Source organism: Homo sapiens, chromosome 15, assembly GCF_000001405.40.
Source record: "Homo sapiens chromosome 15, GRCh38.p14 Primary Assembly".
Lineage (NCBI taxonomy): Eukaryota > Metazoa > Chordata > Mammalia > Primates > Hominidae > Homo > Homo sapiens.
In genome coordinates, this window is record NC_000015.10 from 89,359,738 (window position 1) to 89,372,864 (window position 13,127).

General features: G+C 59.0%; 1 long non-coding RNA gene and 1 other non-coding gene across 21 annotated transcripts in view, besides 3 other annotated features; both read left to right on the forward strand.

Annotated features, from left to right (window-relative positions):
• Positions 1–1,841: 1,841 nt before the first annotated feature.
• MIR9-3HG (MIR9-3 host gene) overlaps positions 1,842–13,127 on the forward strand; it is a 36,910-nt gene continuing 25,624 nt past the window's right edge. For 10 of the 20 annotated variants that reach the window (NR_190315.1, NR_190312.1, NR_190319.1 and 7 more), the window contains exon 1: positions 2,772–2,998. This is a non-coding gene — a long non-coding RNA (MIR9-3 host gene). Of the gene's footprint in view, positions 2,533–2,771; positions 2,999–8,309; positions 8,499–13,127 lie in introns of those variants that run through there. The other 10 variants (NR_190324.1, NR_133003.2, NR_190318.1 and 7 more) reach the window with 3 other exon arrangements.
• Positions 7,887–8,500: an enhancer, noted in NCBI's record as "H3K27ac-H3K4me1 hESC enhancer chr15:89910855-89911468 (GRCh37/hg19 assembly coordinates)". NCBI's record gives its function as "activates a minimal SCP1, AML or CMV promoter by ChIP-STARR-seq in primed H9 embryonic stem cells {active_cell/tissue: H9 hESC(primed)}" and the evidence as "EXISTENCE:reporter gene assay evidence [ECO:0000049][PMID:30033119]".
• MIR9-3 (microRNA 9-3) lies at positions 8,280–8,369 on the forward strand. Its single transcript, NR_029692.1, has one exon. It is a non-coding gene; the product is annotated as a microRNA 9-3 (primary transcript).
• Positions 10,310–11,192: an enhancer, noted in NCBI's record as "H3K4me1 hESC enhancer chr15:89913278-89914160 (GRCh37/hg19 assembly coordinates)". NCBI's record gives its function as "activates a minimal SCP1, AML or CMV promoter by ChIP-STARR-seq in naive and primed H9 embryonic stem cells {active_cell/tissue: H9 hESC(naive and primed)}" and the evidence as "EXISTENCE:reporter gene assay evidence [ECO:0000049][PMID:30033119]".
• Positions 11,193–12,074: an enhancer, noted in NCBI's record as "H3K4me1 hESC enhancer chr15:89914161-89915042 (GRCh37/hg19 assembly coordinates)". NCBI's record gives its function as "activates a minimal SCP1, AML or CMV promoter by ChIP-STARR-seq in naive H9 embryonic stem cells {active_cell/tissue: H9 hESC(naive)}" and the evidence as "EXISTENCE:reporter gene assay evidence [ECO:0000049][PMID:30033119]".

Sequence of the window (13,127 nt, forward strand, 5' to 3'; positions counted from 1 at the left end):
CTGTCACCCTGGGAGCCTGGAACGTGCATCTGAGGCCAGAGCGACTCTTGCCTCTTTTCCAGTGAGCTGGGGGAAAGTCACCCTCCTGAGGAGACCAGCCTTCGAGGGCGTCATGAGCGCGTGTTTGGGGCAGGAACCGGCCGGCCCTCCCTGCTGTGCTACCCCCTGAAACTGGATGGCCCCCCTTTCATTCCCCCAGCTCAGGAGAGGCTTGACCCTACTGGAAGCTCGAGGGCGCAGGCCTGGAGGAAAGAGAGGAACAGAAATCCGGGCTGTGGGGGAGCAGCTGGAAAGCTGGAGAAGCTGGAGGAAGGATGTTGCTGGCTGTTCTTCCCCCACCCCCATTCCTGAGTTTGGGGCTGCAGCCCCCACAAAATCTGCCCTGCAGGTCCAAGTAGTACCCAGCAGCCAAGCAGTAGAATTTGGGCAGCACCCCGGAAGAGGCTTGCAGGATAGGACACAGCCCACAAGAATCATCCGAGGCTGCACCGTGACCAGCCCCTCAAGACAGAGCGAGACCCAAATAACCCCCGCGGGCGGACCCGCAGCGTTCTGTGACTCCACCGCGGAGTCCAAAAGGCAGCTGAGGGTGGGAGCGGAGGGGAAGGGAGGGGGGCCACAGGCGCTCGGGCGAGGGAGGCGCGTCAATGGGCCGCAGGGGCCGGATCGGTGGCCTAATGGATTCAGGCCTGCACGGCAGAGGCGCACCCGGCGGCCTGCCCGCGCTCTCAATAGCGGACAATGGAGTCCCGGGGTGACCTGAACAAAGAATTTGGAAGTAGTTAAACTGCAGAACACGTTCTCGGCCTGGGTGCCTCCTTTCAAAAGGAGCGCTGGGAGAAGAAAAGAAAGCACTGGGGGGTGAAGGGAGTGAGAAAATGCCCAGGGGAAAAGTTGGTAGGTCGCCCTAGTTGCCGCCAGCTACCAGACGCCAGGAATTCAATAGGAAATGGGGGAGGGGGTGGCCCAAGTCTACCAGACCGCAAGGAGAATCAGATAAAGTTCTCCAGGAGATGGCTGGGGTTCCGGAGCAGAACTGAGCTTTCGCCCAGGGCAGAGAGCACCTCCCCCCACAACACACACACGCACACATACACACACACGGTCAAGGCCAGGAGAAGCTTCCCTAGGGCTTTGGAGCTAGAACAGGAACCAGTGAGTGGAGGGGGTGTCTGGGCCCCTGTGTCTAGCCCTACATGGCGCTGCTTCCCTCCTTGGCTCCTCTAACAGGAGGATAGGGCTCCCTCTTTGAGCCCTTTCGCAGAGCTTTTGTTTTTCCTTCCCCATCCAGTTCAGAAAGACTGGGTTCTCTCTCTCCACCCCTTCTTCACTCCCCACCCCGCACAACCAGCAATCTAGGTTCTTCTATGAGAATATATAGTTTGTATTTTAAAGTCAGGCCTCTAGGTGTAAAATATAGGGCCAATTATTATTTTATTTCATTTTTTCAAAATTTTCTAATGTTTCCACAATGAACACAGCCACAACGTAGGAAAAGAAGACATTTAAAAGGCAGTCAGTTATACTGGTATCAAACTAACTTAGAAGAGAAGGAACTTGAAAGACTGTGGAAACCAAAAGTGTAAATAAAATGACGGAATAAATGGTTAGGAGACGAGCCGAAAAGAAGAAAGGAGCGGTGGCTGCCACGTTCCTGGGAGGCAGTGCCTCTGGAACCTTAGAGAACGCTCCCTGGCCAGGAGGCTTCCTCCTGTGAGAGGTGCTTGGCTTGCAAGGGGTTAACAGTATTGCTCATGAACTTGGCCTGTCTGTCTGGCTCGTGATGAATGGTGAGACCCGCTGACAAGTTCAGCCTAGGGACCTCCCCTACTGTGGAAGTGGGAGAAACACACACGGGCGGGCGGAGGGGACCCGGGGCGAGTCATCAAGGGCGCGTGGTTCGGCGTGCCAGGCGCGCTGCTCTGCCTGCTCTCTTGGCTTCTGTCTCCCTTCGACCGATCGCCCCCTATCCTGAAGCTTTCCAATGTCATCTTGGAGCCCCAAAGTTTCCTGGGGCCTCCGCGTTGTGCGTCCCAGAACCCCTTGCCTGCCCCTGAGGGAAACGCGGAGCCATAGGCAGCGGGACGTCGGGAGCCAGCCCAGGGGAGGCCAGATTCAGCATTTGGACAGCGGCTCTGGGGCGCAGTCGGCCCAGCGAGTTTGCCGGTGAACAGCCTCGGGCACATGGCGGGTAGGAGGGCCGCAGGGCTGCTCTGGGTCTTGAAGAAGCAGGACCCAGCCTAGAGGGCATCCCCAGCTCCGAATGGGACACGTTTTCCCGAGATAAAAGATCCCTTCTGAGCTCACACGGGAGCCCCGGGACCATCCAATCCAGCGTGGATATCCCCAGCCTAACCAACACCTGTGCTGGGGGGAAAGATAAGACGCCCCCTTTCAGCCAGGAGGTGGACGACCCTCATGCCCTCAGCTCTCCATTCTTCCCAAAGCAGCTCGGATCCCTAAGTCTGGAGCTGCCAGCGAGGCTTCCAACCCGCTGCTTGCCATCACCTCCCAGGTCGTTGGTGGCTCCGAGTGAGTCTGGCAGCGCGGGGAGGAGAGGGGGGACGAATGGCGTTGCGACTCCCAGGGAAAAGCTGGGAGGCAAGCGGGGCGTGGGGAGGAAAGGCCAAGGCACACGGCTGGGCGCCCCTCACAGCCTTCCTCCGCCGCCTCCATTCCGCACTGGTCGGGGTGAAGGGGGGGGCGGGGGGAGCCGCGCTGACGTCACTGCGGGCCGTGCCCGCCCGAGAAGGCGGCGCTGGGAGCCGCTCAGAGCCCAGAGAAGCGGCGCGCGGCCAGGAGCCCCCGCTCCGCCACTGCCGTGCCTGCCTCCCGCAGCTGTCTGCCATGCGCTCGCCGGGGCAGGGGCGCCCGGAGGGCGGCTAGAGCTGGGCCTGAGCCCGGGAACGCGCCTGATCAGGGGTGGCGGAGCCGCGGTCCCCACAGCCGCCCCACCCGCGCCGCTGCCTCGCTGGGGCCCGGGCCCCCTTCCCGGTCCGTAAGTGCCACTGCCCGCTGTGTCTCGGCGAGGCTGGGGAGCGAGGGCTAGGGAGTGAGGGCGGTGGCTTCGGCCAGGGCAGCGTCAGGGAGCTGGGCTGGACTGAGAGAGGGGGCTGGGGCATCCCTGCCCGGCCCCCTTGGGCAGCTCAGGCAGCTGGGGCTTCCCTTTGCCGCTGGGCGGGATGAGAGGTGCGCTCCCACTGCGGGTGGGAGGCAGGACTCAGTCATCCCGGGCAAAGGGTTGTGGGGCAGTGGGAAGCGCCCAGAGGTGAGGACTTTGGGTGAGCGGAAAGGGGAAGGGCGCAGGGTCGGCTGGAAGTTGTGGGGCTGCAGACAGGTTTAGCAGAAAGGAAGGTTTCTGAAGTGAGGTTCCTGTGAGTCCCAGGATCGCCCTCTCCCTAGCCACTGCCCCCCTACCCCTTCCTTCTTATCCCCTCCCCCACAAAAAATAATAACCTAGAAAGCAGCTTCCTGAAAAAAATATTTTGAGAAAAATGCACCACACAGCACCCGCTCTAGACAAGATTTATGACGTTTTTCCCCCTCTGAAATGGGAAGTTGTTGGGAAATCCTATTCACTCTGCTCCCCACTCCGTGCCCCAGAACAGGCCTCTTTGATCTGTCTGTGGGCGTCTCTGCAGCCTCCTCCAGCCTAGGCTCCACTGAGCTGGAGAAGAATATGGGCAGCGGTGGAGGTTGAGTCAAGTGAGGGGCTTCTTTGGAAGAAGGGTTGGTGGGGGAGTTGGTCCAGTTTGGACCCGTCAGAGCAGGGAGGTAACAGAAGCTGGGAGAACTTCCAGGGTCAGATCACAGAAGCAGTACTGGAGTCCAGAAAAACACACTGAATCTTTGTGGCTGGGCAGAAATCGAGGTGCTGGGCCTAAAGGGAGCCCCCTTTTGTGTCCCCATATCCTGGAGGAGGGGGATTCTTAAGCCATGGAGGGGAAGAGGATGGAGTTTGAGGGTCTACCTTTCAATCAAGGAACAGTGGCCAGAGGTTAGGCTAAGTGGGCACTGAGATGGGGGCATCATACAGGGTCCACCTCAGGACTTCCATTAGCAGTATCTGCTGCTGGAGACCCCAGGGAAGGGGTAGTCCTTTGTCCAGGCCTTTTCAGGAGGGGTGTTTTCAGGTTCCTGCCCAGTTTAGGCCTCCCCAGAGCCCACACCTCAGCTGCTGAGGAGAGAGGCTGGATGTGGGAGCCAGAGAGAGCATTACCGCTCGACTGACCACGTGTACATGAAGGTGGGTGTGCAGGCTCTGGGACCTCCTGGGTGCAGGGAGCTGGGTCCATCTGAGCTGGCCCAATGCTGGGTCTCTCAGCTAGCAGTCCTGCCGGCCTCCAGACAATAGGGAGATCAGCTTAATCAAAGCTTGGGCCTGAGGAAGGAACAAGGGAGGGAGGGGGCAGTGGGGTGAGGGCACCCTGGACTTAGCCTAGATTGTGGCTGGAGACACTGTCTCCTAATTAAGAACCCGTGGGACTCAGGAAAGGAGCACTAGCTCCAGGCTGAATTGCAGGCTGGGTGGCTGCATCTGCCTGGAGTAGCGCCTGGGGAGTTCCATTGGCCTCTGGCTCCCAGCCTCTAGATCAGGGCAAGTCTGGTCTCAGTAGAAGGGTGCCTGCGCAGGGCTGTTGGCTAGGGTCAGAACTGTCCCCCTCTCCTGCCACTTAACCACTTAATTTGCTATGTCCTGAAATAGAAGGCACACTCCTGTGGGTTGTTAGGTCCCCCGCGCTGAGTTGTGTAACTACCAATAGGAAACAGGAACTTGGGCCAAAGCCAGCTTGGAGTCCAAGCAGCTGCCACTGCCAATGGGTACAAGAGTGTACACGTGTACATGCATGGGCAAGGTACCAGCCACCTGTCTTAGGCTGGCTGCTAGACGGAGGGCCAAGTGTGTGAGGGGGTATTGTGCAGATTTGGTGAGTTGAGGGAGTGCAGGATATGCATGTGGTTGCAGCAGGAATGGGCATCTCCGTTGATCTGGATATGGGAGTTTCATGGCCCAGGGGCTCTCTTTCCTCAGTGGAGGTTTGAATACGAAAAATTGAGTCCCAGGCCCTCCGTGGAGGCACCTAGTCGCTGAGGCTTTCTTTTTCTCTGGCTGTTAGCTTCTCCTGGTAGCTGCAGGTGCCCCTGGAGCCTGGGTTTAGGACTGAGGGGGCGAGGTGGAAGAAGTTCAGGGCAAGCGGGGAGGTGGAGAGACAGGCCTGGCAGGCAGCTCTCAGCACCATGGCCAGGGCCCAACAACTGCCACCGGTGCTTTGGCCTGGGTGCCCAGTGGCCAGCCAGACCCAGTACCTGATCTTCTGAAACTTTAGGGACTGTGCTGGGGCTGAAGGCCAAGGCTAGGGGCTTGGTGTGGGGAAAGCTCATGGAACCCAGACACAGCCTGAATTGCAGGCAAAGGGGCAATCTGGGTCAATGCTGGTGGCTGGTCAGGTTCTCCCCACTTGGTCTCTGAATTGGCCTGCCCAGCAGTCTGCCAGCCTCAGCTGGCAGTGCCCAGCCCACACAATGCGCTTCTGCCTGGTGTCGACCTGGATGGCTTCCCGGGCTCCTGTTAAGCTGTGTGTGGAAGCCGGCTGCCAACCCACGGAGACTGCAGCTGCCTTGACCCACCGGAACAGCCTCCTCTCAGCAGCCTATGGCCTTGAGGCTCGGTCTTTCTGTGGCCTTCTTCCTGGGAGTGGGGCTACAGTGAGATGGAGGAGGCACTGATTCTGGGGCCGGTCTCACTCAAGCAGGGTGTGGGAGCCTCCCCCTGGTCAGCCTCACCTGCTCCCAAGAAGGGACTCGATTTCCCAAAAAGACAGTAGAGATGTGGCTCTGATGACAGTGGCCTCCTGCATCTGAACTGAATCGAAATCAGGCTTTTAATTCTTTCTCCCAAAGCCCCAACCCGCCCTAGGCTTGCAGGCCGGCCTCCGCGCGCGGTTACCGCGAGTCTCGCTGAGGAGCCATTTTGTGCAGCATCCTGCTTAAATCACACTCCGAGGGGCTCGTTCCTCGCTCCCTCTTCCCCCTCGCTTCCTCTCTTTCTTCCCTCTCTCTCAGGTGAAACATGCTTCTGGGCCCCTCCCTGCCTCCGCAGCCCCACCCTTCCCACCCCTGGGTGGCCCGGAAAGGACTAGGGCTCAGAAGGCCGCCCACACACACATCAAGAAGGGAAGAGGGTGCAGGTTCCTGGAGCTGCAGGAGGAGGGGAAGCAAGGGGCGCCTCCCAATTATGGAAATTCATGGAATTAACTGTCTCGGGCCCAAATTCAGAGCTTCCTTCCTGAACCGTGGCTGGCCTCTCTGTTCCTCTGCTGGTTCAGCTGTCCAGCCCTTGTTCACCTTCTGGAAAAAGGAATGTGTCTGCGAAGTGGGATTTCGAGGGAAACATGTACATAGCAGATTTGGTTGGTCACAAGCTGGCTGGGATGAGAGCAGGATGTCACCTGCTTCGGATTTAGAGATGGGATGAAATTAGAACAAACCACAGACAAGCAATGGGGAAAGAGGCATTTGACAAAATCCAGAACTTGACAAAATCCACATGTGTCATTTTTAGGGGAGTGTATGGAAGGAAGAGATTTTTAGTAAAATCATGAAATCTTTTCCAAACCATCCACTTTTGGCCCCTTCTTTCCAACCCATCCTGCAAGGGTTTTACCTGGCTCAGAGTGGCCCAGTGCCCCAGACCCCACTAAAATGAATCTGCACGGGTACCTCCACCTAACCCCACAGTGCTCACTGTAGACAGCAGCAGTGAGAGTCTCTGTGACTCCCGTGTATTGACTGCTGGAATCTGGGAATCCACTTGCCCAGTCCCACATAAAATCTCTCCCTAGCTGTTGAGCTTAAGATTTTTCTGGGGGTATCTAGGAGCAAAGATATTGCATTTTTCATACTGAATCCTTTGCATCTTGGGGATGGCTGACAGGCGGAGGTGAATCATAGGGCTCAAGGCTGGAGGGTAGCCACAGCAGCAAGGAAGAAGGGGGTGATGGCTGGCATGAGCACGAAGTGGTACCCATAGGCCACTCACATCTGGAAGGCTGCAATGGTACCACCAATTCAGCTGCCAGCTCAGTTTAGGGGTGATTCCGGGAGACCCAAGGTGGCAGTCCCTTTCCACTGTTGCGGCTACTTGGAGTGAGTAGCCAGGTGTGTGCTGAGAGCTGAAGAAGGAGAGTGGAGGCATGGCTTTGTGCTTTAATTTTTGGTGAAATATGAATTTAACCAGGAGCCAAGAGAGAGCCTAGGACTTCTCCAAGGTGCTTGGCACAATCGGTTTTACACTCCTAGTGTGTCTAGGAACCGAGAGAGAGAAGGGACCTAGCAGCTTGGTACTCAGGGCCCAGGCCAGGGCCTCGCCCAAGTGGAGCATAGCTGAGGAACCTCTGAGTGCCAGGTGTTATGGGTGGGACACCGACCTGCGCTCACCGGGACACTTAATTCTTCCTCCAATCCCTGGTCTCTGCCGCGTGGGCTAGATCTACTGCAAGTGCTGGGCATGGGGAAAGGAAGAGAGAAGTTAAAGGTGAAATGGCTTCTGCTCTCGGCCTCTCCGTGAGCGCTCTCGGCCCTCCTGTGGAGATCGCCACGTCCTATCACACGCGTCCCTAAACCTTGTCACTCGAGCATTCTTGTCTCCCAAACTCTGATGGTCCGCAGTGGGTACTGGGCTCCCTGGGCCCTGGGAGGAAGACGGAGGAGTTTGGGTGAAAGATCAGACGGTGCGCAGCCCTGAGGCTTCTGAGGGCAGAGGGTGCGCTTCCTTGCCCTCGGGGCGGGGAAGCCGTGAACGCCGAGGCCATTGTAAGGCTGGGTGGTGCGGAGCGCGGGAAGGGGGCTGGGATTTGAATGGGAGCCTGTGATTGGCCGATCCCTGGACTGACGTCACTTCCCCGCGGGGCGATTAGCCTGCGAGAGGAGGGCCGGCGGTCCAGTGCGCTGGGGGCGGCCGGGGCGCTCGAGGCTCTCTAAGCGCTCCGCGCGGGTGCCCTACGTGAGCCCCGGGACGCCGTCGAGGCAGGCCGGCAGCGCCGGTGCCAGGACGCACGGAACGGGGAGCAGGGGAGAAATGCGCCGGGAGGGCGAGGGAGGAAGGGAACTGGGCGGGGGCTGCGGGCCTAGGTGGCGGGAGTCAGCGTGTGCGTGTGTCTGTCCATCCCCTCTGGCTCTCCGCGTGCGCCCCAGGATCCGGGCACGGCGTCCGCTCAGGCTCCCGCGCTCGGCAGGCAGCAGCACGTGGAGCCCACGGCGCGGCAGCGGCACTGGCTAAGGGAGGCCCGTTTCTCTCTTTGGTTATCTAGCTGTATGAGTGCCACAGAGCCGTCATAAAGCTAGATAACCGAAAGTAGAAATGATTCTCACAACTTCTGCGTGCGAGCGCCCGCCCCACCGACCGCCCCGGCCCGGCCCGCAAGAGCCAGAGGAGCCGAGAGGAGCCCAGCGCCGGCCCAGCGGACTCCAGCTCGACGGAGCGGCCGCGCCCCGACCAGGTACCTGACCTCGGCTCTCTCTCTGGGGACACTTGCAGTGCCAGCTTTCCCCCAGTCCTCCTCTTTCCTGGTCCCCCACCCCTATCCCCCAGCGCCGGAGCAGGAACCCCAAAGTGGAGCGGGCCGGGGAGAGGGAGGGGGTTGGGGTTGCAGAGGGGTCGCTGGAAGGGGAAGGCGCCAGCCTTCGCCTTCACCCCATAAATCAGGCTGGAACAATCCGCTCCCGGAGCCGTGGACGGGGATTTTGGGATGCAAATGCGATGGGAGAGAGACAGCGGTCGGTAGGGGGTGGGTGGAGGGAGTGAATGGGGTGGGCTGGGGGCTGCCCTGCCGCTAACAATGCGGCCTTTATCGAATTATTCGACGAGTCAGCCCCTGAGCGCCATTAGCATACGGCTGGGGGGTTGCCGGAGCTTCGCCCCTCGGTGAGGTCAAGTTCTTGATAATTTGATCACTTTTCACGGGCTCTGGCAGCTGCCTTTGTGTGCAGTTGGGGGGTCTGTGTGCAGCGTGAAGCGGAGCAGAACTGGCGGGGAGTGCGCTCAATGGCAAGGGGCCAGGGCAGGGGCCTCCCTCCCCGACGGGTCGGCCCTGCCCTGCATACAAACCAAGAGCCGGCGGGTGGGCGGGAGGAACCGAGCTCAGTCTCCCGCTACCTCTACGCCAGCCCCGACCGGGCTGCTCCTGCCCAAGCCTCCCCAACTTCCCGCGAGGTTAAGGTGCAGGCAAGCTCCCAGAGCTCCCCCTCCTCCCTGCCCCAAGAAGTCACGACATAAGATGTATTACAATGTCTAGCAAATAAAAAAGCAATTGGGGGAAATCTGAATTCGTTCCCATGGCAACCCAATGCAGCACACCCGGCCACTCAGGCTCCCAGCCCCTCTTAACTGGGCTCAGGGAGTGGGGCTTGCCCCTGCTCAGTGCGTGGGGGTCCCGGCCCCACACAGTGCTAGGGTCCCTCTCGAGTTTCTCATCTGCCTTCAGGTCACTTTCCACCCTGATGCCTTGGCTTGTCCTGAAGCTCAGGGCCCCTGTAGCTTGGGAAACCTCCCAAGCTCCCCAGCGAGTGGCTGTAGACCAAGGAAGGGACCCTGCCCGGCTTCAGGGAAGAAAGGAAGAAAGGTAGGCTCAGACTCCCCGATTGGTAGGGGGGCTTTCTAAGTATATGGGTATGTGAGTGCTATGATAGACAGGCTGAAAGGAACTGGCACCACCACCCAGCCCTGACCCCCATCCCCTCACCCTTTTACATGAGAGGAAACAGATCTGGGGATCTGAAGTGACTCCCTAAGGGTCACACAGCTCAGAAGGCAGAGCTGGACCCCAGGCCACCTTACGTACATCTTGGCTCACTTCACTCCCTGGAGCCTCTCCCTTAGTGATTTTCACGGCCCCTCTTCTCCCAGCCTTTGCCCAGCCCTCTTGTAAAAATAGAAATATTTTTTCCATCTTCACTCCTGCAAACCTTTTTTGTTCTTTGCCTAACAAAATTATTTTGAATATAGGGTATATATGTAAATGGTGAAAATTCAAACAGTACAAAAGGAAAACCCCTTGGCTCTGGGGAGGAGAACTGTGTGGCTGAGGTGGATGGTAGAGGGAGACTTTTCACTGTATACCTTTGGAATTGTGAACCCTGTGAGTGTGTTAGCATTCACAGTAAAATTAAATAAAAAATACACACAAAAGACCAGGCAGGGAAAGTCAGCTGCCCTCCTACTTTGGTCCCCGGTTCTCCTCAGAGATAATCATGGGCAGAAGGTTTTCTGAATCCCTTTGTACCCCACCTCCATTTTGAAAGGCCAGTTTCCCTTTTTTTCTGACAGGAGGCTGGTGAAGGGTGACTAGAGTGTTTCGGGATTCACGAGGCTATGGGCTGCATCCCTTGGGCCGTCCCTCCCTTCCCAATGCACCTGGGAGCCTGTGTGCTGATGGTGACCTCATTTCGGAGGAAACCGGAGCAGCACTTCCTGCCCCCTTGCCCTGCACTCCCTGCCTTCCTCCCTCACCGGCCAACGGGTGTGGGCAAACCCTGGGCCCCGGGCTTCGATCTTCCCCTCCCACCACCCCTACCCGTTTGCTGTGTTGCAAGAACTAGTCCTTCACTTGCCAGGGTGGCTTTGCAGCTTCCCAGCAGTGTCTACACAGTTCAGATGAGTGTTGTTGTTAAACACCACTGTCCCATACCATCTGGGCAGGTCTGAAACCCGAGTTGAGGGTCTGATGAAGGAGGAGTCTGTGCGGGAGGGCAACGCGGCATTTTCCCGCTTTCTACGAAAATCTGTTGATGCAAACCTCCCGCTTCAGAGAAAGATCGCGGCAGCAGGGCTGCGGAGGGCGATGAGCATGCCAGTTCTAATCTCCAGGAGCCCATCCCACACCTTCCTTAAACGGCCCTCGGAGAGAGGCCAGAGGCCAGAGGCCAACCCATCCGATTTCGGCCTCCTGGTACGAATGCCTGCCCCTACTAGAGCAATGTTCGAATCCCCTTTGGACACTTAAAGCCCAAGGCACAGACTCAAAATTGGTGCCTGGGCCCATCAACGTCTTCTGGCCTGCCTGGACCTGGAGTAGCCGGACGGGTCTGGGGCCTTCTCAGTCCCTCGTCTCCTCCATTCCTGTGCCCCAGGAAGGCCTTCCCCAAGCCTCCTCTGGCCACTGGCTCCCCACGTTTGGGCTTCATTTTTGTCTCCGGTTTGTGCTACTCTTTCTTCATCCAAAAAGGCGTTGGAGATCCCGAGAATCTGCTGCAGCTTGGAAGCCAGAATCTTAGAGAATCTCGGATACTTCTCACCCCATTCCTTTCATTTTACACCTAGAAATGGTGTAAAAAGGCCCAGTGGCTCACGGAAGGTCGCACAGAAGGCCACTGACAGGGCAGCGATCAGTACAGCCACCGTGGTGGGCGAGGCATCCGGGGCTTCCTTTTCTCTGGTCCACGAACTCCCAACTCCGAACGCTGTGGGACTGCATGGGCCTCTGCCCGGGCCAATGAAATGCGCTGCCGAGAGGAGGCTGCGGCGCGGCCTGAGGCCGGATCTCCACAGGCCGGAGAGTTCTCTGCCGGCCGCGGCCGGACCTCCCGGGAAATGGGACCAGAGCGCGGAGGGAGCCTGGCCAGGAGGCCTCCTAGGACTCAGCCGCGACGCTGAAAAGCATGAAGGGTCGGAATTAGGCACTCATTTAGCGAGCGTTACTAATCCGAAGTTACAGCGCTAATTCCCTGATCCGGCCGCTCCCACACGCAGCGCCGGGATTAGAGGCGCGGCCGCCGCCCGCCCCGCCCTCATACCCCAAACGCGCCCGCCCCGCGCCCTCGAGGCTGCGGGCTCAGGGCTAATCCGCCGCGCCGCGCTCGCCTGGCCCGAGCGCGCGGCGGGTCGGGCTCGGCCAGCTGGGGCGAGCCGGCCTGTTCGCTGGCTCGGGCGCCCGGTTCCGGGCTGGGCAAGGAGCGCTTGGCCATGAGCCGCGGGACAGCCCAGGCGGGACGGATGCGCCCTCCAGGGCCCAGGCGAGGCCGCGCGGTGCAGAACCGCCGGGATTTCTCCAACCCGGGTATGCGCACCCACAGCAGCGGCCTTTGGAGGCCGCGGCGCCATTTTAGTGGCCTTCCTTCCCCCTTGGCATCTGTCGTGTATGGTGTGGCTGGGTGTCCCCAGCTCCCCCCATCCCGCTCTGACTTTGGCTGCCCCCTCCGCCAGCCTGGATAGAGTGACCAATCAGCTCTGACCTAGGGTGGGATGCGCGTCACCATGGCGACGGCTAGGGCGCCCTGGCAGTGCTGCCCATCGCAGAGGGCAAGTCTTCACTCCGCCTAGATGGGTGTGAAGGGAAGGTGGGGACAGGTGGGGGGGAGGGGCGGATGGAGGGAGGCCGTGATGCCTCGTCCGCATTCCCACCCCATTTTGCCTAGGGTCAGTTCAGCTGGGTCAGGCAGGGGACAAATGGATGGTGTGGAAGGGGCCTGGGTAGGGGCCTGGGTTTGTCCTGGGGCGGCTCTTCCACGAGTCCTCTCATCCCCCCCAGGACCTAGCTCTGGTATAAAGGCTCATCTTGGTCTCTCATCCTCTTCTATGTCTCTCTTCCAAAGACAGTGGTGTTCAGGAGCCCCCAGACGCTTCCCCCCAATTTTCTTGCTGTTAAGTGCTGTGATTTTAGACAAGTCGCTTTCCCTGGGTCTTAGTTTTTGCATCCAGAAGATGGGCTGCTGTGCAGGCTCATGCCTGGAAAGCCTTCAGTGCACACCGGCTGTTCTGTCAGTGTTAGAGCTCCTTCTCCCTGGGCAAGACCTTTGGGGGCAGGATTCAGAACCTGAGGATGTCCTTTCTGTCCAGGGCAGCCAAGTTTGGGTGTCTCGTGGCTTCCTAGAGCCAGCTTTTCATCTCTCCTCCAGACAGCTGGGAGAGGAGGGAGGATTTTTAAAAATAGAGCCAGGGTGGGGGCTGTGGCTGGAACAAAACCTTGGTCAGTGGCTCTGAGAATGGGGCGCTGCAGCTCCTAAAGCTCTGGCTCCTTCCTTCAAGCCTGGTCTGGCTTAAGCACCACTTTAAGTGGTCCCGGCATTCACTGGCCAGCCCCTCACCGCAATTGAGCCGCAGGGGTTTGAAAAGAGGGCCAGGGCCTCAATGA